Source organism: Homo sapiens, chromosome 14 (assembly GCF_000001405.40).
Source record: "Homo sapiens chromosome 14, GRCh38.p14 Primary Assembly".
Taxonomy (NCBI): Eukaryota; Metazoa; Chordata; class Mammalia; order Primates; family Hominidae; genus Homo; species Homo sapiens.
In genome coordinates, this window is record NC_000014.9 from 50,397,378 (window position 1) to 50,424,119 (window position 26,742).

The 26,742-nt window shown below is 40.6% G+C and overlaps 1 protein-coding gene across 14 annotated transcripts in view; it reads right to left on the reverse strand.

Annotated features, from left to right (window-relative positions):
- MAP4K5 (mitogen-activated protein kinase kinase kinase kinase 5) overlaps window positions 21,144-26,742 on the reverse strand; it is a 142,606-nt gene continuing 137,007 nt past the window's right edge. For all 14 annotated transcript variants that reach the window (XM_047430898.1, XM_047430897.1, XM_047430893.1 and 11 more), the window contains 2 exons: window positions 25,744-25,799; window positions 21,144-22,729 (listed from right to left, as the gene is read on the reverse strand). In XM_047430898.1, the coding sequence (XP_047286854.1) occupies window positions 22,642-22,729; window positions 25,744-25,799 (144 nt within the window). In that variant the 3' untranslated portion in view covers window positions 21,144-22,641. The remainder of the gene's footprint in view (window positions 22,730-25,743; window positions 25,800-26,742) is intronic.

Here is a 26,742-nt window from a genome sequence, read left to right on the forward strand (position 1 = left end):
GAAGGTTCCACGGCAGTCTTCTGCTGTGGGACTTTTCTGGTGTGGGAGGTGGAAGCTTACAGAGTCTGCCTTAATTGTTTTTGGTTCCTTTCCCCCATCTTTCTCCCAACGGACTCCTACTGCTCAAATCTGAGCACACTGGCGGGAAGCGGATGGACCTGGGGAAATTATGAAATCATGTCAGTTGCCACTGGGCAGAGTGCCTCACACTTTATCATCCGTCCCGTTCCCAGTGCCAGCATCAATGCGGGTACTTGTCCTGGAAGCAGTACCCGAGGAGAGAAAATTAACACAGTGTCTATGAAACAGGGGCCAATCCCGTGTCAAGCAGCATGCTACTAAATGTAAACCCAGGAAGGGTTCAGAAAGGAGCCTGGAGCTGAGGAGAGAGGGCTGGTGGCTGCCCTGGAAACCCAGTACAAGGATGGCCTAGAGGTGGTCTGTGAACAGAAATTGTTTGCAAATGGCAACCATTGATCTGTTTTCTGTCTCTATAGTTTTGCCTTTTCCAGAATGTCATGAAAATGGAATCAGACCGTATGTAGCCTTTTGAGGATAGAGGATCTCCCCCACCACCCCAACTCCAGTGAGCTTTCAGATGAGATTGTAGCCCCAGATGACAATGTAAGTTCAATCTTGTGAGAGACCTTGAGCCAGGGGCACCCAGCTAAGCCATACTTGGGTTCCTGACCTCTAGAAACTGAAATATGTTTGCTATTATGTTTTGGGGTAATTTGTTATGCAACCATATGTATCTAACACAGAAGCCTTTTATTAATAGGAGGTTGAGAAAGTTCACTTTCATTCCTAGTTTGCTTAGTGTTTTTGTTTGCTTTTTAAAATTATGAATGGATGTTGAATTTTATCAAATGCATTTCTTCATCTAGAGGTGATCATTTCCTTTTCCTTTCTTTTCTTTTTTTTTTTTAATTGAGAGGGAGTCTCGCTCTGTCACCCAGGCTGGAGTGCAGTAGTGTTATCACTGCTCACTGTACCCTTGAACTCCTGGGCCTAAGCAATCCTCCCACTTCTGCCAGGCCTGAGTAGCTAGAATTATAGGTGTGCACCACCTAATTGTTTTTATGTAGTCTGTTGATACGGTGAATTATATTGATTTTTAGATGTTGAACCAACCTTTTGTTCCTGGGATAAACCCAACTTATTTATGATTTTATCATTTTAATGTATTGCTGGATTTGATTAGTAATATTTTATTGGAAATTTTTACATTCATGTTTTGAGAGATATTGATGTATAGTTTTCTTGTAATATCTGCTAATTTTGGCATCAGGATAATGCTGATCTCAGAAAATGAGTTGGGAAGTGTTTATCTTCCCTTTTATTTTCTAGAGATGTTTACATTAAATTGGTATTATTAATTCCTTAAATGTTTGGAAGAATTTTTTTTGTTTTTTTTTTTGAGACAGTCTTGCTCTGTCATCCAGGCTGGAGTGCAGTGGTGTGATCTTGGCTCACTGCAACCTCTGCCTCCCAGGCTCAGGCGATCCTCTTGCCTCAGCCTCCAAAGTAGGTGTGCCACCACGCCTGGCTAATTTTTGTGTTTTTTGTAGAGACAGGGTTTCACCATATTGCCTAGGCTGGTCTCCAACTACTGAGCTCAGATAATCTGCCTGCCTCAACCTCCCAAAGTGCTGGGATTACAGGCATGAGCCACTGCACCCCGCCTTCTAATATAAGCATTTAATGCCATAATTTTTCCTGTAAGCACCACTTTAAATACATCACAGAAATCTTAATATGTTGTATCATCATTTTCATTCAGTTCAAAATATTTTTTTTTTTTTTTTTTTTTTTGAGATGGAGTCTCACTCTGTCACCCAGGCTAGAGTGCAATAGTGTGATCTCGGCTCACTGCAACCTCCGCCTCCCAGGTTCAAGCGATTCTCCCACCTCAGCCTCCCAAGTAGCTGGAACTACAGGCATGCACCATCATGCCCAGCTAATTTTTGTATTTTTAGTACAGACAGGGTTTCATCATGTTGGCCAGGCTGGTCTTGAACTCCTGACCTCAAATGATGCTCCCGCATTGGCTCCCAAAGTGCTGGGATTATAGATGTGAGCCACCATGCCTGGCCCAAAAATATTTTCCTTGTGACTTCCTTTTTGACTCATGGGTTATTTTTGTAGTGTGTTAATTTCCAACTATTTGGTGATTTTTAAAGATATCTGTTATTGATTTCTAGTTTAATTCCATTATTTTCAGAGAACTCAGTTTATATGACTTAAATTCTTTGAAATGTTTTATTTTGTTTTATGACCCAGAAAGAATATGGTCTATGTTCATGAATGTTTCTTTTTGACAATTAAAAAAAATATTTTGAAATGAAGTGAGAAAGTCAGTGTGAATTTCCCCAGAGCTGCATCGTCTGAAGTTCATACCAGGTTAAATCAAGTTTGTCTGGAAAATTAACTTTATGGACTCCACAACGTCAGTACCCAAAGAGCCTGGAACTGTGCCAGGCCTAGTGGTAGTTAAAGTAGGAGCCAGTGTACTGGTTATTTATGCCCAAGTAGGCAGTGAACCAGAAAGCTAGCATGACTTGCAGCTGCAAGTTGTTTTGTTTGGAGGAATTTGAAATAAAATATTAGAGAACAACTTTAAAAGGGAGATGAACAGTCGGCTGTCACCACTTAGCACAAAAGAGAGAAGGTAACGTGGCCTCTAGACTAGTCAAACTGACAGTCCTTTCCCTTGGCAGGTGCGACACTGGTTTTGGTATCAAAGAAGTATATAACTCCTGGAAAGTATAGCTCTTGGGAATCTCAGAAATGGTCTGTTATGTGGGGGCTTTTTCTCAAGCCAGTGCAAAGTGAAACAGCATTATATTCTGCTAATAGTGATCTTTTCTTTGCAGTTTGTATAATTAGCGAGAATACTTCAGTGTTCTTAGAACAGCACAAACCGTACTATGGTATTTTAATCATTTAAGGAAAAATAAACATTCAGTAGGGTAACATATGGTCACAGAAAAAGCCTGGAATTTGGAGTCAGAAGACCAGGATTTCTACCTACTTACTGGTGTTTGATCTTGTGCAAGATAATTACTATTGCCTATATAACAACATTATTTAATGAGTGCTTACTTTGTGGCAGGCATTATGCTATGAATATTTGACCCATGAGCCTCACAATAACCCCAGGAGATAGGCATTAAATATCATCCTGAGCTTTCAGATGACTCTCATTGAGTTGGAGAGGATAAGTAGCTAGCCTAAGGACACCCAGCTAGTGAAGTGTGAAGTCAGTATTGGAATGCAGGTGGTTTGACTCCAGAATCTTTTCTCCTAACCATTTTGCTAATACTACCTAATGCATTGTGGTGGTTGTCAGGATTATTGAGTTAATGTGTAGGACATTGAGAGCTGGCGCAGAGCACTTAAAATGATGCACAGTGTAGCACCTTCCTCCTTTTTTTTAGGCTACCGGGAAGACTCATCTTGTCTATATGCTCCCTTCTCATGGTAGCTCAGCAACTTCATGTGTGTGCAGCTCCAGCACCAGGAGAATGAACTTCCATGAGATTGGGCAGAACACTGAAGCCTCATCTGAGTGCAGAACCCAGGGCCAATGCTTGAAGCCTTTTTTCTTTTTTTTTGAGATGGAGTCTCGCTTTGTTGCCCAGGCTGGAGTGCAATGGTGCGATCTCGGCTGACTGCAAACTCTGCATCCCAGGTTCAAGCCATTCTCCTGCCTCAGCCTCCCGAGTAGCTGGGACTGCAGGCACCCGCCACCACACCTGGCTACTTTTTTGTATTTTTAGTAGAGATGGGGTTTCACTGTGTTGGCCAGGCTGGTCTCGAACTCCTGACCTCGTGATCCGCCCGCCTCAGCCTCCCAAAGTGCTGGGATTACAGGCATGAGCCACCGTGCCCAGCCAGCTTTTTTTTTTTTTTTTCCAATTATGTTGTAAGGAAAGGGGAGTTGAGTCAATGTCATTTTAAAATGACACTCTACAGCAGCTTGAGGAAATACTTGAATTTATTGTCTCTGTTTTAAGTGGAATTGGGAAAGAAATTGATTCCAGAGTCCATACAGACAAAAGCTAATAACTATCATTTAGGGACGCATTTCAGGCTCAGTATCCACATTATCTCTGATCTTTATGACAATCTTACATGGATTTGTTAACTGACTGGGATTATTAACTGGCCTGTTTTATGAAAGAAGAAGCTGAGGCTCTGAGAGATTGATCAGTAGAGACAAAGCCACCCTGCTATCAAGGGCTGAACACAGGTTTCAGGCCCAACTCTGCCTGTTTCCAAAGCCCATGCTCTTGTAGTGGTGAATGGAGTTAGAACAACTAAGAATGCCTTGAGAATGATCCTCTGTCCTTGGATGCCCTAGAGAGCTAACAGCAGGGCAGACCTGCTGGTCCAATCCGAATTCACAACATCCTGAAGAGAAGCCAGGTGTCAGCTGTCAGCCGCATTCTTCTTGACCAATCACTGCTAGAATGTTACAAAGCCAGGCATGCAAATAACTTTCCCTTTACCTGGAGATAGAAAAGAATGCTGAATCAGCTGGGCATGGTGGTTCATGCCTGTAATCCCAGCACTTTGCGAGGCCGAGGCGGGCAGATCACATGAGGTCAGGAGTTCGAGACCAGCCTGGCCAACATGGTGAAACCCCGTCTGTATTAAAAATACAAAATTAGCTAGGCATGGTGGTGCATGCCTGTAGTCCCAGCTACGCGGGAGGCTGAGGGAGGAGAATCACTGCAACCCAGGTGGCAGAGGTTGCAGTGAGCCAAGACTGTGCCACTGTACTCCAGCCTGGGTGACAGAACAAGACTCCATCTCAAAAAAAAAAAAAAAAAAAAAAAGACTGCTGAATCAATGTAAATATATGGGAAAATCAATTTTAAAAGGAGCCTATCATTTCTGATTTTATATATAGGCTCAGCCAATAGTAAAGTAAAATGTCTTCATTCTCTAATTAACCTTAGTTATTCTGTATGTATTTTTTCCTTTTAAATATTTATTGTACTTTTTAATTAATTAATTTATTTATTTTGAGATGGAGTCTCTGTCACCCTGGCTGGAGTGCAGTGGTGCAATATTGGCTCACTGCAACCTCTGCCTCCTAGAGTAGCTGGGATTACAGGCCTACACCACCATGCCTGGCTAATTTTTATATTTTTAGTAGAGATGGGGTTTCACCATGTTGGCAAAGCTGGTCTCAAACTCCTGACTTCAAGTGGTCCACCCGCCTCAGCTTTCCATAGTGCTCAGATTACAGGCGCGAGCCACTGTGCCTGGCCTTTATTGTACTTTATATATGATGAGCTAGTCCTTTTAAAGTACCTTTTCTTCTAAAATCTTTTGTTTCTGAGTCTTTTTTTCTTTTCTTTTCTTTCTTTTTTTTTTTTTTTGATACAGGGTCTCACTCTGTCACCCAGGGTGGAGTGCAGTGGTATAAGTAGCTGGGACTACAGGCATGTGCCACCACACCCAGCTAATTTCTGTGTTTTTCATGGAGACAAGGTTTCACCATGTTGGCCAGGCTGGTCTTGAACTCCTGACCTCAAGTGATCTACCCACCTCGACCTCCCGACATTGGTGGGATTACAGGTGTGAGCCACCACACCTGGCCTCTTTTCTGAGTGTTAACACTGTTTTCACATTTCCAGGTTTTCAAAGAACCACCCAGTACTTTCATCAACAAACCCACATGCCAGGAGAGCTCAGCAATATTAACACTAAAACCCTGGAAGGTTTATGTGGCTAGCCCTGGGCTACCAGTGAGTGAGTCAATGAATATGATCCTCTCCAGGAAATAAGTCTCAAAACCTCAAGTTATACATCTATTTGCCACTTTGGACAGTTGGTTGCTAAACATCCTTAATCATAAGGCCATCTATGAACATTTCTGCACTATCATGACTTTGGCATCATTATATTCTAGAGAAAAGCCCTGCAAAGTGTACATTTTTGAGATCGAATAAATAGGAAAGAACATTAATTACTTTCTGAATTTAGCTTAAAGCTGTAACACAGAATCAGCAGTTTGGAAAGCCAACTTTTCCTGCTGACATGTGTCAGACACCATGCTGGGCACTGGAGACTCAGAAGCCACTTTGTCAAGATGAAACACTGTGTTTCCTTGCAGAGCAAACTCTCCTGCCTCCCCCCAAGAGGGGTTCCTCCATGGAGGAAACTAGATAGGAGGACTTGGAGGGCTGGTGTTTACATTGTACTTTTTGTTTTTCAAAACACTTCACAAGGGTCTGTGAAGGAGAGAAGGCACATCTGGCATTTGAGGAAACAGATACAGAAAATTTAAATGACTCATTCAGAGTCCAAAAGCAAATCTGTGACAACAAACAGGCCTAGAACCTGGGTCTCAATTTCAAGTTGTATTCTTCTCACACTACTGTACTGTTGGCTTCAAATTAGGTAGCTCTAATTATGGTTAAAGAAATATAAATCTACCTTATGGGAACCCAATATTAAAACAGACATAAAATAAAGTATGACAAAATGGGGAAGAAGAGAGGAAAGGGCAAGAAGTATGAATTATTTGCATTTAAAAATATTTCTCGCTTTACATAAAATAGATTTCATACAGATTATCTTAGAAATGCATCCATTTCTTTTTTTTTCTTTGAAATGCTTCCATTATATTTTCTTGTGGTAAAAAACACATAACATTAAATGTACTACCTTTTTTTTTTTTTTAGACATGAAGTCTCACTATGTTGCCCAGGCTGAAGTGCAATGGCTATTCACAGGCATGATCATAGTTCACTACAGTAATTTTTTTTTTTTTTTGAGACAGAGTCTCGCTCTGTTGCCCAGGCTAGAGGGCAGTGACCTGATCTTGGCTCACTGCAACCTTCACCCCCAGGGTTCAAGCGATTCTCCTGCCTCTCAGCCTCTTGAGTAACTGGGATTACAGGCGGCCTCAACCACCGCCCAGCTAATTTTTTGTATTTTTAGTAGAGACGGGATTTCACCATGTTGGCCAGGCTGGTCTCAAACTCCTGACCTCAGGTGATCCACCTGCCTCAGCCTCCCAAAGTGCTGGGATTACAGGCATGAGCCACTGTGTCCGGCTTATGGTCTTGAACTCCTAGGTTCAAGTGATCCTCCCATCTCAGCCCCCTGAATAGTTGGGACTATAGGCACGTACCACTGCACCAGGCACAAAATTTACTGTCTTAACCATTTTTAAGTGTATAGTTTCATAGTTTAAGTACATTCACATTGTTGTACACAGATCTCTAGAACTTTTTCATCTCGCAAGAGTGGAATTCTATCCACTAAATAGGAATTCCCTCTCCCCTTAGCTCTTGGTTACTCTAACCCTAACCTTCATACTTTCTGTTTCTATGATTTTCATGACTTTAGATACTTCATGTGAATGAAATCATATGGTACTTGTCCTTTGGTGACCGGCTTAATTCTCTTAGCATAATGTCCTCAAGGTTCATTCATGTTGCAGCATGTGACAGGATTTCCTTCTTTTTAAGGCTGCTTAATATTCCATTGTGTGTAGACACTGCATTTTCTTTTTTTTTTTTTTTTGAGATGGAGTCTCGCTCTGTCGCCCAGGCTGAAGTACCGTGGCGCGATCTCGGCTCACTGCAAGCTCTGCCTCCCGGGTTCACACCATTCTCCTGCTTCAGCCTCTCGAGTAGCTGGGACTACAGGTGCCCGCCACCACGCCTGGCTAATTTTTTGTATTTTTAGTAGAGACAGGGTTTCACCGTGTTAGCTAGGATGGTCTCGATCTTCTGACCTCATGATCCACCCGCCTCAGCCTCCCAAAGTGCCGGGATTACAGGCGTGAGCCACCACGCCCAGCCACATTTTCTTTCTTCATTCATCTGTGGATGGACATTTGGGTTGCTTCCACCTCTGCAAGGTTTGGCTTTGAATTCTTCTGGGTATATACCCAGAAGTGGACTTGTTGGATGATATGGTGAACATATTTTAAATGTTCTAAGGAACTGCCATACTGTTTTCCACTGTGACTGCACCATTTCACATTCCCACCAACAGTATACAAGGGTTCTAACTTTGCATCCTTGCCACCACTTGTTATTTTTGGTTCTCCTGATAGTGGCCATCCTGATGGATGTGAGGTGATAGTCTATTGAGGTTGTGATTTGCACTTTCCTAATGATTAGTAATGCTGAACATTTTTTCATGTGCTTATTGGCCATTCGTATATCTTCTTTGGAGAAATGTCTATTCAAGTTTGTTGCCCATTTCTTCACTGGGTTATTTGGTTATGTTTTTGTTGTTATTGAGTTGTAGAAGTTCCTAATATACCCTGCACATTAATCTCTTATCAGATATATGGTTTACAATTACTTTCTCCTGTAGGCTGCCTTTTCATTCAGTTGACTGATTCCTTTGACTCACAGATGTTTTTAAGTTTGATGTCCTATTTGTCTATTTTTTCTTTCATTGCCTATGCCTTTGGTATCATATCCAAGAAATCATGGCCAAATCCAATGTCCTGAAGCTTTTCTCCTGTTTTCTTCTGGAAGTTTAATAATTGAAGATCTTACATTAGTGCTTTGTTTGATAATTGGAGATCTTGCATTTAGGTCTTTAGATCTTACATGAAGGGCTTACATGTTGGCCATTTTGGCTTACTTTCTGTATATGATGTAAGATAATGTTCCAACTTTTGCATGTGGATATCCAGTCTTCTTAACACCAGTTGTTGAAGAGCATGTTCTTTCCCCATTTTGTAGTCTTGGCATTATTGTCAAAAATTATTTGTCCAGATGCAAGGGTTTATTTCTGGCTCTCTGTTCTGCTCGCTTGGTCTATTGATGTGGTTTGGCTCTGTGTCTCCACCCAAATCTCATCTTGAATTGTAATCCCCACATGTCGAGGGAGGGACCTGTAATCTCCACGTGTCAAGGGAGGGAGGTGATTGGGATCATGGGGGTGATTCCCCCATGCTGTTCCTCTGATAGTGAGTGAGTTCTCACAAAATCTGATGGTTTTATAAGGGGCTCTTTCCCCTTCTCTCTCTTCTGTCTCCTGCCACCTTGTGAAGAAGGTCCCTGCTTCCCCTTTGCCTTCCACCATGATTGTGAGTTTCCTGAGGCCTCGCCAGCCATGTGGAACCGTAAGTCAATTAAACATTCTTTGTTTATAAAGAAAGCCTATATCCAGTCTTGGGTAGTTTTTTGTTTGTTTGTTTGTTTTTGTTTTTTTTGAGACGGAGTCTCGCTCACTCTGTCGCCAGGCTGGAGTGCAATGGTGCGATCTTGGCTGACTGCAACCTCTGCCTCCTGGGTTCAAGCGATTCTCCTGCCTCAGCCTCCCGAGTAGCTGGGATTACAGGCGCCTGCCACCACGCCTGGCTAATTTTTGTATTTTTAGTAGAGACGGAGTTTCACCATGTTGGCCAGCCTGGTCTCGAACTCCTGACCTCAGGTGATCCACCCACCTCGGCCTCCCAAAGTGCTGGGATTATAGGCGTGAGCCACTGCGCCCGGTCTCGGGTAGTTTATACTTAGTCTCAGGTAGTATCTTTATAGCAGTATGAGAATGAACTAATGCATCTATCTTTATGCCAGTACTACACCTTCTTAATTACTGTTCTTTGTAGTTATAAAATCAGGAAGTGTGGGGCTTCCAACTTTGTTCTTCTTTTTCAAGATTGTTTTGGCTACTTAGGGCCCCTTGAGACTCCCTGGGAATTTTAGGATGATTTTTTTTTTCTAAGAAATGCATCTGTTTTTTAAATGGAGTTAATACTGTAAGTCCTATCAGCTTTCTCCTCCCTTTCAGAAACTCTGTGATGCTTATTCATTAGCGTCTATATAGCTAGTTGTACAAACAGAAACCTCTGGCACCCAAGATACATTTTCCATGACAACCATTGAATTTTTAGTCATGTATTGATCAAAAAAGTTTACATAGTTCCATAAGATTATCTCTAAACTGCATGCATGCCAAGGATTGTGTGAAGATCATAGTTAAAACCACATGTGAAAGTTCTATTATTGTAAATAGCTTTCACAGGAATGGCTCATTGTCAAATATTAGGAGTGAGGTATTTATTGTGAGGCATCGAAAGTGAATCCACATGTCGGTCCTTGTAAAAAATATGCATTTAAACAGTATTCCTCCAAAATAATAAAATAAATCCTTCACCTTAAACAACAACCTATTCATTTTTCTACAATATCATCTGACCTGATTTCCCCAATAAGAGTGTGAACTCTGGAGCCAGACTGTCTGGGATCAAATCCAGCTCTGCTAGTAACTGTCTGTGAGAACTTGGGCAAGTTCCTTAACCTCCTGATGTTTCATATGTGTCGTCTGCAACATTGAAATGAACTACCTCTTCACGTTGTGAGGATTGAGTGCTAAATCCATGCTAGCTTTTGTTTTTTTTTTTCAGATGGAGTCTTGCCCTGTTGCCCAGGCTGGAGTGCGGTGGTGCCATCTCGGCTCATTGCAACCTCTGCCTCCCAGGTTCAAGCGATTCTCCTGCCTCACCCTCCCGAGTAGCTGGGATTACAGGTATGTGCCACCACGCCCAACTAATTTTTGTATTTTTAGTAGAGACGGGGTTTCACGTGTTGGCCAGGCTGGTCTCGAACTGCTGAGCTCAGGTGATCCACCCGCCTCTGCCTCCCAAAGTGCTGGGATTACAGGCGTGAGCCACCGTGCCCGGCCCCATGTTAGCTTTTATCATCATGACGATGATAATCCCTGTGTATTATTTTCTGTTTGGATGAGAAATTTATTTACTACTAAAATGTATTCCCTACTCCACTGAAAACAATTTAAAGTTTAGGGATTCATTTCGGGCTTAGCAATCAAGGAAAAACATTTATTTAGTCATTCAGAGTCCTAATCCACACTCCCAGGGTTTCTATTGGAGAAACCCAATGTTTCCCACTGCCAGAGCAGCACTCTTGCCACCACATCGTGCATCTGCTCATGGGGGAATCTCTAGAAAGGAGACAGCACATGGTGGAGGAGCAAGGGCCAGAGAGCCCACCAGACCTGGGCTCGGATCTGGGTTCTACCCTTTCTTGGCTGAGTGAAACCAGGAAAGTTACTTTGTGTGTTGGTCAAGAATATGTCTAAAATTTTGTTGTTTTTTAGAGATAGGATCTTGCTGTGGTTGCCCAGGCTGGAGTACAGTGACGTGATCACAGCTCACTGCAGCCTTGAATTCCTTGGGCTCAAACAATCCTCCTGCCTCAGCCTCCCAAGTAGCTAGTACTACATGTGTGTGCTGCCACACCTGGCTTTTAAGGTTTTTGTTTTTGTTTTTAATTAAGCTTTTATTTTGAGATAATTGTAAACATCCAGTTGTAAGTAATCACACATAGAGGGCCAGGCATAGTCTCACGCCTGTAATCGCAGCATTTTGGGAGGCTGAGGCAGGCGGATCATCTGAGGTCAGGAATTTGAGACCAGCCTGGCCAACATGGTGAATGGTGAAACTCTGTCTCTACTAAAGACACAAAAATTAGTCAGGTGTGGTCACGTGCCCTGTAGTCCCAGCTACTAGGGAGGCTGAGGCAGGAGAATTGAACCTGGGAGGCAGAGGTTGCTGTGAGCTGAGATCGCGCCACTGCGCTCCAGCCTGGGCTACAGTGAGAGACTTTGTTTCGAAAAACAAAAAACAACAACAAAAAAGGAAATCACACATAGAGATCTTGTATACTATTTACCCAGTTTCCCCTAGTAATAACATCTTGCAAGACTGGAGTACGGTATTACAACTGGATATTCACATTGATAAAGTCAAGATGTAGAACCATTCCCTCATAAGCATACCACAAGTTGCCGTGTCCCCCATCCCTGACCCCTGGTTATTGAAGAAGTCTTTCTGTAGGTATATGTGTTTTTTCTCTTGGGTAAATACCAAGAATTGAAATGGCTAGATTGTATGGTGAATAGATACTTAATTTTCTAAGGTACTGCTATAGGCTTTTTCAAAATTGCTGTGTCATTTTGCATTCCCATCAACAACATATGAGAGTTTCAGTTGCTCCACATCCTTGCAAGCATTTGGTACTGTCAACCTTTATTTAAAAAAAAAATATGGTAAATACACATAATATGAAATTTGCCATCTTTACCATTTTTAAGTGTACGGTTCAGTGGTATTAAATGCTTTCGCATTATCATGCAACCAATGCTATCCATCTCCAGATCTCTTATCATCTTGCAAAACCAAGTCTCTGTACCCATTAAAGAAAATTCTCCATTCTCCTGACCCCTGGGAACCAGCATTCTATTTTCTGTGTCTATGAATTTGACTACTATAGGTACCTCTTGTAAGTAGCATCATACAGTATTTGTCCTTTTGTCACTGGCTTATTTCATTTAGCCTAATGTCTTCAAGGTCAACTGTGTTCGTCCAAGGTGTACACAGGTAGCATATGATTTCCTTAGTTTTTAAGAGTGCATAATATTCCATTGCATGTATGTACATTTTCTTTATCCATTCATTTTCCAGTGGACACTTGGGTTGCTTCCACCCAAGCTTCCACCCATTTTGATTAATGCTGCTATAAACACAAGTGTACAAATGTCTTTGTGACCCTGCTTTCAATTCTTTTGGGTATATACCTGAAGTAGGATTGCTGGATCATATGGTAATTCCATTTTTAATTTTTAAAGGAACTGCTGCTGTTTTATGCAGCAGCTGCACCATTTTGCATTCCCACCAAAAGTGTATACAAGGATTCTAATTCCCGCACATCTTCACCAACATTTGTTTTCTGTTTGTTTTGATAGTAGCCATCCTAGTGGTTGTGAATTGGTATCTCAATGTGGTTTTCATTTGTATTCTGGGATCTTAGCTGACAACTGCAGAAGTCTCTTCAGCTTGTTTAAGCAGAAAGGGATTTATTCAAGGATATTAAATAGCTTGAGGAATCTCCAGAAGGGTCAGAAAGCCAGATCTGGAGACTACACAGTTAGAAACATAACAAAACTGTTCTGCAGGACTGCCTCAGCCAGACTTTAGAGCTGCCGCTGCTGCTGCTGGCACTATACTTGGCTCTGCTAATGCTGGATGCTATACCCACGACTCTGCATCATTCCTACCCACAAAGGCCAGACTCCTCTCCACCATCCAAGCCAGAACAATGGTTCAGGACAGCACGTACTTCCTTGTGCTGCTCTCTTTCAGACTGAGACTTGTGTGCGTAAGTCTGGTTGGAGGAGTCTGCACCGTAGCTGCTAGGTGTTGGGAAAGGGAGTTGGGCTTCTTCTTTGGAGACACGAGAGTCACAAGGCGGGAAATTACTCTAATATTGGAAGGGTCTTCAAAGACAAACATAAAGCATGAGAAGTATCTGCTGTATTTTTCTATTCTACTTATAAATAGGGATAATTATAGCTGCCTCACTGACTCATTTTGAAGATGAGATGCGATCTCTCATGTAAAATGTTTAACACAGTGCCTGGCCCAGAGCAGGTGCCAATAATGTTGTTTTTCTCTTTTCTCTCAATAAAATGTAAGCATCACTTCCTGATATGACATAGGCTATTAGTGTAGGCAGCTGTATAATACGATTTTAGGAACCTCAAGGAAACTCTATGACCCCCCTAATACTCTATCTAACATAAAATTCCATGTTAGTACTTTAGCTTCTGATCTTTAGAAGTTGCAAAGCCACAATTCACAATTCAAGATGAGATCTGGTTGGGGATACAGCCAAACCATATCAAGGTTGTGAAATCCTGGAGGAGATTTGCGAACTGGACTTTAAGGAATTTAAATGGACATTGTTATTCACTGTGGGTTTTCAGAAACCACAAACTGAGAAGTAATTATGGACTTGAAAGTTTGACCCAGAGTCAGTGCTTTATGTAGACCATTTACATGTCAAATGGCCAGGATGCCCTGGCACCCTGGCAGGTACTCCATGATCAACAGAAATCTCTGGATTCTCTTGTGTCTTTTATTCATTGTAAGATAATCATGGTGGTAACTAATCCAGGAAGACTTAGCTTTAAGAAACATGACCAGGATAAAGTCAGATACCCAAAATCAAATGTCACATTTACAGTGTGCTAAATATTACACTTAGCAAAATTACTGAGGAAAGAATATGTGGTTGAATATCATGATGATTTAATGAACCATTTCACTCAAATGCGGTGAGTGGTTTTGCTTTTTTTAAGCTTCACCAAGTGGTTGTTTATGGTATACAGGACATCTGGTGTTTTTAGCAGTCCAGCATCCATTTGAAGGGAGCATTTATCTGATAACCAATTAAGCTGAATACATTTTCACATATTTATTGATTACTTGGATGCTATCTTTTGTGGAATGCCTGCTCGAAATCTTTTGCTCTTTTTTCTACCGGGTTGTCCGCCTTTTCCTTATTGATTGTAGTTCTTAATGTCTTCTGGGAGATCTTCTGTGGCTATATGTAATACAAGCCTCTTTTTCCATTCTGTGGCTTGTCTTCATTTTTATAAAATGAAGATTTTCTCTACTCGTCTTGAGTAGAGAAAGTATTTTACCAACTTTTATTTATTTATTTATTTTTTGAGACGGAGCCTCACTCTTGTTGCCCGGGCTGGAGTGCAGTGGCGCGATCTTGGCTCACTGCAACCTCCACCTCCCAGGTTCAAGCAATTATCCTGCCTCAGCCTCCTGAATAGCTGGGATTACAGGTGTCCACCACCACGCCCAGCTAATTTTTGTAGTTTTCGTAGAGACGGGGTTTCACCATGTTGGCCAGGCTGGTCTTGAACTCCTGACCTCAAGTGATCTGCCCACCTCGGCCTCCCAAAGTGCTGGGATTACAGGTGTGAGCCGCCATACCAACCTTTTTATAGTCAAAACTTAATGTTCTGTTCAAAAAAATCTTTGCAGACCTCAAGTTCATGAAGATATTTTCTTTTAAAAATGCTATAGTTGGTATCTCAATGTGGTTTTGATTTGCATTTCTCTAATGACCAGCGATGATGAGCTTTTTTTCATGTTTGTTGGCTGCATAAATGTCTTCTTTTGAGAACTGTCTGTTCCTATCCTTTGCCCACTTTTTGATGGGGTTGTTTTTTTCTTGCAAATTTAACTTCTTTGTAGATCTGGATATTAGCCCTTTGTCAGATGGATAGATTGCAATAATTTTCTCCCATTCTGTAGATTGCCTGTTCACTCTGATGGTAGTTTCTTTTGCTGTGCAGAAGCTCTTTAGTTTAATTGGATCCCATTTGTCAGTTTTGGCTTCTGTTGCCATTGCCCTTGGTGTTTTAGTCATGAAGTCTTTGCCCACGCCTATGTCCTGAATGGTATTGTCTAGGTTTTCTTCTAGGGTTTTTATGGTTTTAGGTCTAACATGTAAGTCTTTAATCCATCTTCAGTTAATTTTTGTATAAGGTGTAAGGAAGGGATCCAGTTTCAGCTTTCTACATATGGCTAGCCAGTTTTCCCAGCACCATTTATTAAATAGGGAGTCCTTTCCCCATTTAGACCAGTTAGAATGGCGATCATTAAAAAATCAGGAAACAACAGATGCTGGAGAGGATGTGGAGAAATAGGAACACTTTTACACTGTTGGTGGGAGTGTAAATTAGTTCAACCACTGTGGAAGTCAGTGTAGCGAATCCTGAAGGATCTAGAACCAGAAATACCATTTGACCCAGCAATCCCATTACTGAATATATACCCAAAGGAATTAGAAAAAAAATTTAAAAGCCCCATGCTAAGTCCACCAATATGTGACATACTGAAAGGAACAGTTAAAGAATGAAAACATACCTATGCCCTTAGTGAACTTCTTGGTGAAAAATAAATAAGTCAACTTTTTTTGTTTTTCTTGAGTTACTGCTATGAGCGGGAAACTAATCCACATTATGTCCTTTAATCCTCCTAACAACCAATGAAGGGGCCATTATTTCCAATCAACAGAGAAAAAGATGGAGGCCTAGACAGGTTGAATAAGTTGTCTAAGGTAAGTGCTAAGTGGTTTGGCTAGTAGGTAACAATTGAATGTTACACTGAAATGTACAATCCATATGTGCTGTAGAAATTCTGAGAAACAGAAAACGATTTGGATTTGGATTAAGTGGTCAGAGCTGTCATAGAAAAGTTATGGCTTGAACTGAGTATCATTAAGGTAAAGGATTTAAGGTTTGATAAAATAAATCAGAACTGTAGGATGGAAGAGCCATTATGAGCCCAGCAATGAAACTGGAGTGATCATGGCCTCTATGTGGCCAGTATCCCAGGGTGCTTGGCAGAATAGTGGGAGAGAAGGCTGGAGAGGAGGCTTAGCCAAAGAAAAGAAGTTTGATGAAACTGCTTTTTCTCACAAGACCTTATGGGATTTACTTCACCTAGCTTTTTGTCTCCAGCTACTTTTGCCTCCTTCCACATGACGCATACATTAGCTACGCTCAATTGATATTTATTGAATGCCTACTGTGTACAAAGTACAGTGTAAGAAACTGGCTTTGTCACACTGTTCTGGTCATGCAGGGGTTCATGCTTTTATTTAAAGTTACATTTTTCTTTAACATGAAAAAAATCAAATGTATGCATGCACATAAAGAATCAAATAGACCTGTAAAAGTTTGTTATCACAAAGCATGCCCTTCCATCTCTCTCCTCAAAAACAACTTTTCATTATTTTGGCAGATTATATTATCCCCATGCCACGAAATAATGTTCTTGATTAAAAAAACTTCCTGGCCGGGCGCAGTGGCTCACACCTGTAATCCCAGCACTTTGGGAGGCTGAGGCGGGCGGATCACAAAGTCAGGAGATCGAGACCATCCTGGCTAACATGGTGAAACCCCATCTCTACTAAAAATACAAAAAAATTAGCTGGGCATTGTGGCGGGTGCCTGTAGTCCCAGCTACTCGGGAGGCTGAGGCAGGAGAATGGCGTGAACCAGGAGGCGGAGCTCGCAGTGAGCCGAGATCGCGCCACTGCACTCCAGCCTGGGCGACAGAGCAAAAGACTCCGTCTCAAAAAAAAAAAAAAAAAAAAAAAACCCAAAGCCTCCTAAGTGAAATTTTGTATCCTTTAACCAACATCTCCCCATCCCCAAACTAAGATCCCCCAGCACAGCTCCAGGCCCTGGTAACCACACTTCTACTCTCTACTTCCATGAGTTCTGCTTTTTCAGATTCCACATGTCAGTGAAATCATGTGGTATTTGTTGGTCAGTGCCTTGCTTATTTCACTTAACATGATGTCCTCTAGGTTTATCCATGTAGTCACAAATGACAGGATTTCCTTCTCTTTTTCAAAGCTGAATGGTATTCCATTGTGTGTATATACCCTATTTTTTTTTTTTTATCCATTCATCCACTGATGGACACTTAGGTTGATTTATTTGGTTACTGTGAATAATGCTGTGATGAACTTGGGTGCGCAGGTAACTCTTCAACATACTTATTTCATTTCCTTTGGACACATACCCAGTAGTGGGATTGCTGGATCACAGAGTTCTATTTTTAATTTTTTTTGACGACCCTCCATACTGTTTTCCTTAATTGCTGCACTAATTTATATTCCTACCAACAGTGTACAAGGGTTTCCTTCTCCAGCATTTTTTTTTTAGACAGTGCCTTGATCTGGTGTCTAGGCAGGAGTACAGTGGTGCGACCATAGCTCACTGCAGCCTCTAACTCCCAGGCTCAAAGGATCCTCCCACTTCAGCCCCCCAAGTAGCTGGGACTGCAGGCATGCCCACCACACCCAGGTAATTTTTCTTAAATTTTTTTTTTTTTTTTTAATAGAGACAGGGTCTTGCTATGTTTGCCCAGGCTGGTCTCGAATTCCTGGCCTCAAGCGATCCTCCCGCCTCAGCCCCACAAAGCACTGGGATTACAGGCATATGCCACCACAGCCTCTTTCATTTTTTTGATAATAACAGTGTGAGGTGATATCTCATTAATTTGCATTTCCCTGATTAGTGACATTGAGTATTTTTTCATGTATCTGTTGGCCATTTGTTTTTTTTTAGACGGAGTCTTGCTCTGTTGCCAGGCTGGAGTGCAATGGCACAATCTTGGCTTACTGTAACCTCTGCCTCCCAGGTTCAAGCGATCCTCCTGCCTCAGCCTCCCGAGTAGCTGGGACTACAGGCGTGCGGCCATCACGCCCAGCTAATTTGTTTGTATTTTTAGTAGAGACGGGGTTTCACCATGTTGGCCAGGACAGTCTCAATCTCTTGACGTCATGATCCACCCGCCTCGGCCTCCCAAAGTGCTGGGATTACAGGCGTGAGCCACAGCGCCTGGCCCTGTTGGCTATTTGTATGTCTTCTTTTGAGAAATGTCTATTCAGGTTCAGGTCCTTTGCTTTTTTTTTTTTTTTTTTTTTTTTTTTTTTGGAGACAGGGTCTTCATGCTCTATTGCCCAGGCTTCAGTGCAGTGGCACAATCACAGCTCACTGAACCTCGAACTCCTGGGCTTAAGTGATTCTCCTGCCTCAGACTCCTGGGTAGCTAGGATTGCATGTGTGCACCACCTCACCCAACTAATTAAAAAATTTTCTGTAGAGATGGGGTCTCGCTATGTTGCCCAGACTGGTCTCAACAGATCCTTCTGCCTTGGCCTTCCAAAGTGTTGTGATTACATGTGTGAGCCGTGCAACCTGGCCTTGCCATTTTAAAATTGGGATGTTTCCTTGCTATGAGTTATTTCACTATGTATTTTGGATGTTAACCCCTTAAGAGATGTATGGTTTGCAAATATTTTCTCCCACTCTGTTGATTGCTTCCTTTGCTGTGCAGATTTTGTTTGATGTAATCCCTTGATTTTCAGTTTTTAGGTATTATCCACTGATTTTCTACTGTGGAAAATGAGAATTTGATAACTTTTCTAACCTCCACAATACCATGTCCTCTCCCAATATAGTTGCTGCAATTTTGATTAGATGAATATTTTGTTAACAAACATTGTTATGCCATTCATCCAGTGGTCATTTTTTTTTGCCCATTTTGCTTTCCTGGAGTTAACTGCCAGTTTTTTGTTTGGCTTGGTTGGTTTTTCTCCAGAATCACTGTCACCTCTGATTGAACCCTGGAGCCTTGAAAAGCATCTCCTCCACCCACCTTCTGATTCCAGCCAGTATCAGTGGACAGCTCCATGGGAACTGAAGACCCATTTCCTACTCTTTCAGCTTTCTGTCTCAGGGTCTTCTTTGACACTTAAGGAGCCTACTGTGCCCATGTGCAAACTGCCCCATGTGCAAGGAGATGATGCCCTTGGCAGCAACTTGATGAGTGAAAAATGACAGCGTACGGTTAAATGCTCCAGCCACTTGTCTTTCAGGAGGCAATTCAGGGAGCTATCACATAGCTTCTTTGAGGACCTGGTGGAATCAAGCTCCCACTGTCTACACAGAAATGACCTCAATAATACACCATGTTTTATACTGACTTTCCCCTTTCTCCTTCGCAATATCACAAGTCCCTCACTCCTAGTTTCTGGGATCTCTAAAATAAACTAACCCACGTTCTTGACTCAGGCTTTGTTTCAGGAAGAACCTCGTAGTTTGCTGGTTGCCTCACTCTTAAGATACTGAGATACATTGGATATTTTATTAATCTTTCTAAAAACATGTGGCCAGGATCTTCTGATATGCTTCAATATACTCTCTATGCCTGGTGTAGTGGTCATCCTTGGATATTCCATCCTCATCATCTGGGGATTTCTTTCATTTCTCTCCTGTGCTAAATCCCATTTCCTGCATCCTATGTCATTTTGTTTGGTTTATGCCCTTTTTATGAAGCACATCCTTTAGTAGCTTCTTGAGAAAGGATATATAGGAGGCAAATTTTTTTATACTCTTCATTTGACTTTTATGTTACATTTAGTCAGATACAGAATTTTAGGTTGGAAATTTCTTTCACAAGTTTGAAGGCATTGCTTCTGTTGAAATTTAAAGCTATTCGGGTCTGGATGCAGTGGCTTACGCCTGCACTCCCAGCACTTTGGGAGACTGAGGTGGGCAGACAGGAGTTTGAGACCAGCCTAGGCAACATGGTGAAACCCTATAAAAAATACAAAAAAATTTAGCTGGGCATGGTGGTGGGCGCCTGTAGTCCCAGCTTATCAGGAGGTTGAGGCAGGAGGATGGCTTGAGCCTGGGAGGCGGAGGTTGCAGTGAGTCGAGACTGTGCCACTGCACTCCAGCTTGGGTGACAGAGCAAGACCCTGTCTCAAAAAATAAAAATAAAGGTATCCTGAGTCTTATTCCTTGGTATCTGACCTGACCTTTTTCTCTGGAAATGTAGATCTTCTTTTTGACTCCGGTGTCCTTGAAATTTCGTAATGATGTGCTTTGGTAAAGGTCTTTTTCATCCACTGTGTTCTTTCAATCTAGACTCTGATATTCTTTAATACTGGAAAAATTATTGAAACACTCTAATGGTTTCTTCTGTTTTCTTTTTGGAACTCTGGGAGATTACATATTAGACCTCCTGGGCTGTCAATTTTCTTAACTTTTTTCAACATTTTCCATTTAAAAATTTTTTTTGAGAAATTTCAACTTTATATTCTAAGCCATCTAGTTGAATTATTCAGCTATGCTGTCATATTATTTTCTAAGAGCTCTTTTTGTTTTTTTGAAACCCAACTTTTTAAAAGTACCCTGCCCTTGACTCACTCATGGTTGCAACATCCTTCTGAAAATACTTTTTCTTTTGATGTTCTCCTTACCCTTCATAGCCTGTTTCCTCTGTTTTCCCCAGACTGTTTTTTCTCTTTCATTTATTTGTAATCCTTGGTTGTTTGCTCATTTTTAAGAGCACAGGACTAAAAGACTAACTGCAAGGTCTAGACATAATGCGTGGGATGGTGGGATTGCCAACTATGATTTTCACTGTAGTGTCATCTAGCTGGGCAGTTTAGCCGGGACATGTCTGACATCAAGATCTTAATGAGGCCTTTTCACTTGCATTGGTCAGATTTCACAGAGAAGACTCTTCGGTATTCCACCATGGGATGGTAAAGATCTGGCTGCCAGGATTCAGTAAGAAAAGGAGGATTCTGGCTTTCTTATCCATCATGTAAATGTCCCCTGTTTTGAGGATGGTTCCCCTGTCATCTACTGTATCCCGTATTCTTAACATAGCCAAAATAAACAGCCACACACTTACTGAAATCATATCATATGTGCATTTTTAAAGAATAAATAACTTTATATTCCATTTGTATAACATTTTATTGTTTGCGTATTGCATAGTGAAAAGAACAGAGTCAGAAGACTCATGGTCAGGCTCAACTACTAACTTGCTGTGTAAATTGGATAGATCTCTTAACCTTGCTAAACCCTTACTTCCTCATCTGAAAAATAGAGATAATACTTATTTTACAGAATTGCTAAATACTGAATGAGATACTTATACTGTTTTCCTCTTAAGTAATTAGTCAAAATAATTATAGAGTTTGCTATTGCTAACCCCTTGTTCATCATCTCAATGCTGTTCTCAATAAATGCATTAAGACAACAGGTACCAATGTAACACTTTAATTTTGAATATTAACAATAGCAAAAGAAAAACAAACTCAAAAATGACCCTACCCTTTATTATTTTTAGAATACTGGCTTTTAAATACTTATTGATACTATCCCATCAGGAATTCAATTCATTTAAATATTTTTTTTCTTCTTCAACCTACTCAAAATGAATACCTACATATGTGAAAAACCCAAGATTACATGTGTAATTACTTTATAGTTTCCTCTCTGGCATAGTATAAGTAAAATACATATCATGGGCAATTAAATACTTCCCCCTGCTACATTAGGGATGATAATATATATGAAGATTAATTCCTTATGCATTATCCCTAATGTAAAGAAAAATCACAGGTATTTTATACTGCTTGTCAAGAATACATACACATGGTAGACACAGCTAGACATACACACCCCTTCTAAGAATATTTCAACTATCATCAATATCTTCTGTATGATCCCTTACAACTATCTGTAGTTGAAAACATAAGACTCCCTTTTAAGGTAATTCTGTATGAAACTGTATTATAAAATACTTTTGTTAAGCAAAATTGCATGTGTGTGTTGAACCCCCAAACACTCAAAGTACTTTACTACTCTTAAAAGATAAACAAAATTCTTATACATTATAAAAAAAATTTAAGCTGCTCTGCAACCCTCCTTTGCTAAAAGTTAGATACATTACACCACTCCAGCAAGAGATTAATAAATAAGGATTAAATATTCTGTTTTACAAAAACATACAGAATGGCCAATATAAAAGTGAAAACCTTGCTTGAGAATTTAACAAATTATGTTCATTAAGAAGGAATAAGACATGATATAAAATGATCACTAAATTTACCTCTCTTAAGATAATCACGAGTTATCTAAAAATACCATGGCACCCTTGTTACAAACATTGTTTTTTTTAAAAAAAGACTGTGTTTCCTGGAACTAGAGGACTATTTGTCTCATAGCTTTTATTAAGCAAACTTGATATAACCACCACACAGTGGCAAGAGATAGACTAGCTGTTTCCAGCTGCAGAAAATATTGAATTCTACCCTAAAGTACAGATCATTTGCAATATAACCCATAATAGTTAAAGCAAATCATAGTGCAGTTTGTATTGAATTTCCTTATTTTTCCTTTCAATGGAGTATATTCATTTTCCTGTCATTTGAGATCAGTTTCTGTTGCTTAGTAACTATTTTCATGTCCAGCCAAGATGTAGAGATTGCTGTGTGCAGTAGGATTTTCTGTTGGCCTACTTTCCAAAACGACAACCCTGTAATTAAACCAAAACAAAGGGCTTAAGAGTAACTACAGATTTCATACATCAAATACTAACATCAAACTAGGAAAGAATATCATTGTTCACATTTCAGTAAGATTACGTAAGGATCACAGACGCACAATCAAATTCAGCTTTACATTTTACAGCTTTAAAACACAATAAGAATTGATGAATATAAAATATTGAAGACATTTTGGGATAGACTCATTATCTTATTCCAACTAAAAAATCTGGGCTAGGTGTGGTGGCTCACACCTGTAATCCCAGAACTTTGGGAGTCTGAGGCAGGGGGATCGCTTGAGCCCAGGAGTTTGAGACCAGCCTGAGCAAGATGGCAAGACCCCAACTCTACAAAAAAAAATAATAATTAGCTGGGTGTGGAAGCCTGCACCTGTAGTCCCAGCTACTCAGGACGCTGAGGCAGGAGGATCCCTTGAGCCCGGGAGTTTGAGGATGCAGGAAACTGTGATTGTGCCACTGCACTTCAGCCTGGGTGAGAGAGTGAGACCCCTTCTCAAATAAAAAACAACAAACAAAATTTGCTTACTCATTTATGCCAACAAAAGGTATAATATAATACTTTAGGGATTTCACTAACAGGAAGAGGATGGAGGAAGAGCCAAGAGAATAAAATAGGACTCTAAGAGACACTCGTCCAAACTGTTCTTCAAGGTATTTGAAATAGCTTTTTAAAAATAGTATGAAATGGGGCCCCTCTCCCTAGTTGCTGGAACAAAAATGGAGAAAGAGTTCAATCAAAGGACTGATAGGAAAAAAAAAAAGAAGTACTATTCCAAACATTTTAGTTGTGGGGAAGAGAGTTTGAGAACAAAATAAAAAATAATATACCCATGCAGAGAAAAAAGTTTCTAGAGGAGGAATGGGAGAAAAAAAACTGCACATAACACTTATTTTTCTAGTGTATGAATTTTCTATAATTAGCATGTTATTACTTTAATAATGAAAACATTTTTTAAAAATCATAGATACTTTATATTAGGCATTACAGAAAAGTAGAAAAGGAAAATATAATTACTTATAATCCAACTGCCCAGAGTTAACTGTTATTAAAATTTTGACATGCTTAGTTTTTTTTTCCTAGACACAAGTATCTATACTTAAGCAACAAAATAATTTTTTTATTTTTATTTTTATTTTTTTAGATGGAGTTTTGCTCTTGTCGCCCAGGCTGGAGTGCAATGGCGTGATCTCGGCACACTGCAACCTCCGCAACCTGGGTTCAAGTGATTCTCCTGCCTCAGCCTCCCGAGTAGCTGGGATTAAAGGCATGCACCATCAAGCCCAGCTTATTTTTTTTGTATTTTTAGCAGGGACAGGGTTTCTGCATGTTGGTCAGGCTGGTTTCGAACTCCTGGCCTCAGGTGATCCACCTGCGTCGGCCTCCTGAAGTTCTGGGATTACAGGCATGAGTCACCGCGCCCGGCAACAAAATAAATTTTTAACCACTTGTAAAGATAAAACAAAAACTCTGTTTAGATATGTATCTTAAAAACAAGGAGATGCCCATGTAAGAGACAAGCAGAGCAAGGCAACAGTCTGAAGGAAGTAGTTTTTCAGAGCAAATAGTGATAGAGTGGACAGAGAATACGAACAGGGAAGGGAAAAGTGATGCACAAAGCTCTGAGCAGAGTAGGTAGAAGGAAACAAGCAACCCAGAGAAACGGCCTCTGATGCCAACCCTCTACCAAGCTGAATTCTCTCACACTTGGTTTCATTAAAGGATTATCTACACCAGGATCAATGGATGATCCACAATTCTTTTTTTTTTTTTTTTAGACAGAGTCTTGCTCTGTCGCCCAGGCTGAAGTGCAGTGGTGCGATCTTGGCTCACTGCAACCTCCGCCTCCTGGGTTCAAGCAATTCTCCTGCTTCAACCTTCCGAGTAGCTGGGATTACAGGGACACGCCACCATACCTGGCTACTTTTTCTATTTTTAGTAGAGACAGCTGATTCACCTGCCTCGGCCTCCCAAAGTGCTGGAATTACAGGCATCAGCCACTGTGCCCGGCCCACAGTTCTTTTCTCAGCCCTTCCTGGAGAAGCAAAGAGCCTCTCATTTTAGTTCTAGAGTCATTTACCAGATGATCCTCAAATTCTCTTTTTGTTGGTTGGACGACTTACTAAGTTGCCATGCTTTGTGGGCTTACCTTTTCTATTCACTAAGGTAGTCATCACTTTTTGAAAATTCCTGTTCTCCTATAAAACTCTCTTCAAAATTTTTATGGAGTTATAACTCCATTTCCCCCTCCTTCCTCAAGTATCTAAAACTTAAGCAATGTGAACCTGAAGACCAGAGGTTCCCAATCCTTGTCTCAGGACTAATGCATACCACTATAGCCAATTTTGCTTTAGTAACAACTTTTGGTGGGAAAAGAGGAAGGAATGGGTATTTTATTAGCTATAGAAGTAGACAGTTGAGCGACAGAGTGAGACCGTCTTAAAAAAAAAAAGAAAAAAAGAAGTAGGCAGTAGATTTTGGAAATCAAAAGCTACAGCTACTACATTTTTTTCATAAGATGACAGTTTTGCAACTTGTCTTTTATTTGGGGTAAAAAGAGACCATATAATTCTTTTTAACTTAGATTAACTTTAGAAACTGAACCAGGCATTTTCTAATATAAAAGCAAATATCATCAAGAGGTACATATTCCTAATAGTTAATGGAAGGCAGCACACCATGAAGAAATGAAGACAAACGGGCCCGAAATAGCTCTCATAGTACTAGGGACATCAACATCTATATCAACACATTTTGTCTCAGTTGAATATAACTGTCTCTAGAATAACAATCCTCACACTGACAAAAGGTTGCTTAGTTAACTTATTAAAATATTACTAATTCTCTCAGTAAAGACACAGAGAAATGTATCTAAGTCAATGAGCTTCTAAGAGTTTTGTTTGAAACAATTACAGACTGACAGTATAATTAAGAGTATGATCTTTGAACTCCTTTGGTAATTAAATTAATACAACCAAACTATTACCTGTCTGATCCTAATAAGCGGAAAACTCTTGTTTCATCTGAAATCTCCTGGGTAACCTAGGAAAGAAAAATACCTATCAGTAACATCTTACTCCCCATATTGCCTTAATAACAATTTAAAATTAATTTAGAGCAATTATTAACACAATAAATATTTTTTGGTAGACTTAATTCCTCAAATAAAAGAAATTTTAGTAAGTTTTTTGATTGCATATTATTAGAAATGAACCCACATTTATGGAACATCTAGTATGGGTCAGGTACTCTACTTAGAAGAACTCTTTGTGATATGCATTATAATTCTCATATCATTGAAGAAGAAACTAAGACTCCAAGAGGTTAAATAAGTTGTTCAATCTCATAGAATGGGTAGACTCAAGACTTGAATACAGGTTTGTTGGACTGCAGAGCTCCTTTGGGGGCCAAGGCTTGAGGTCAGGAGTTGAGACCAGCCTGGGCAACAAAGTGAGACCCTGTATCTACAGAAGTATTTAAAAATTTTACCTGGGCACAGTGGTGCATGCCTGTAGTCCTAGCTGCTCAGAAGGCTGAAGTAGGAGGATCGCTTGAGCCCAGGAGTTCAAGGATACAGTGAACTATGATTGCACCACTGCATTCCAGCTTGGGCAACAGAGCAAGACCCTGTATACTCTGTTTTCTACAAAGCTGCAGAGGGTGCTCAGCCATGTGCAGGTACTATGCCAAAGTGCCCGCAGTTTGTATACCTGGGGGCAGGCCTTAACCAACATGGGATAGCAGTTGCTGCATAAATGCTCAAGCCTCGTCATCTACAAATGAGTCAATTCTGAGGTGTATTTTACCCCATTCCTCAGTGGTCCCTACTGGATTAAGCCCCAGTTGCTCTTAGTGGGAACTAGCTTATTAATGTGTTCTTTATTGGCTTTTTGCCCCTCTTTATTCTCCATTCCTCATTCCATCACTTGTCTTCTGGAATCTATTCCCAAATACACTATCTGTATTTGAGTCCTTGTCTTAGGGT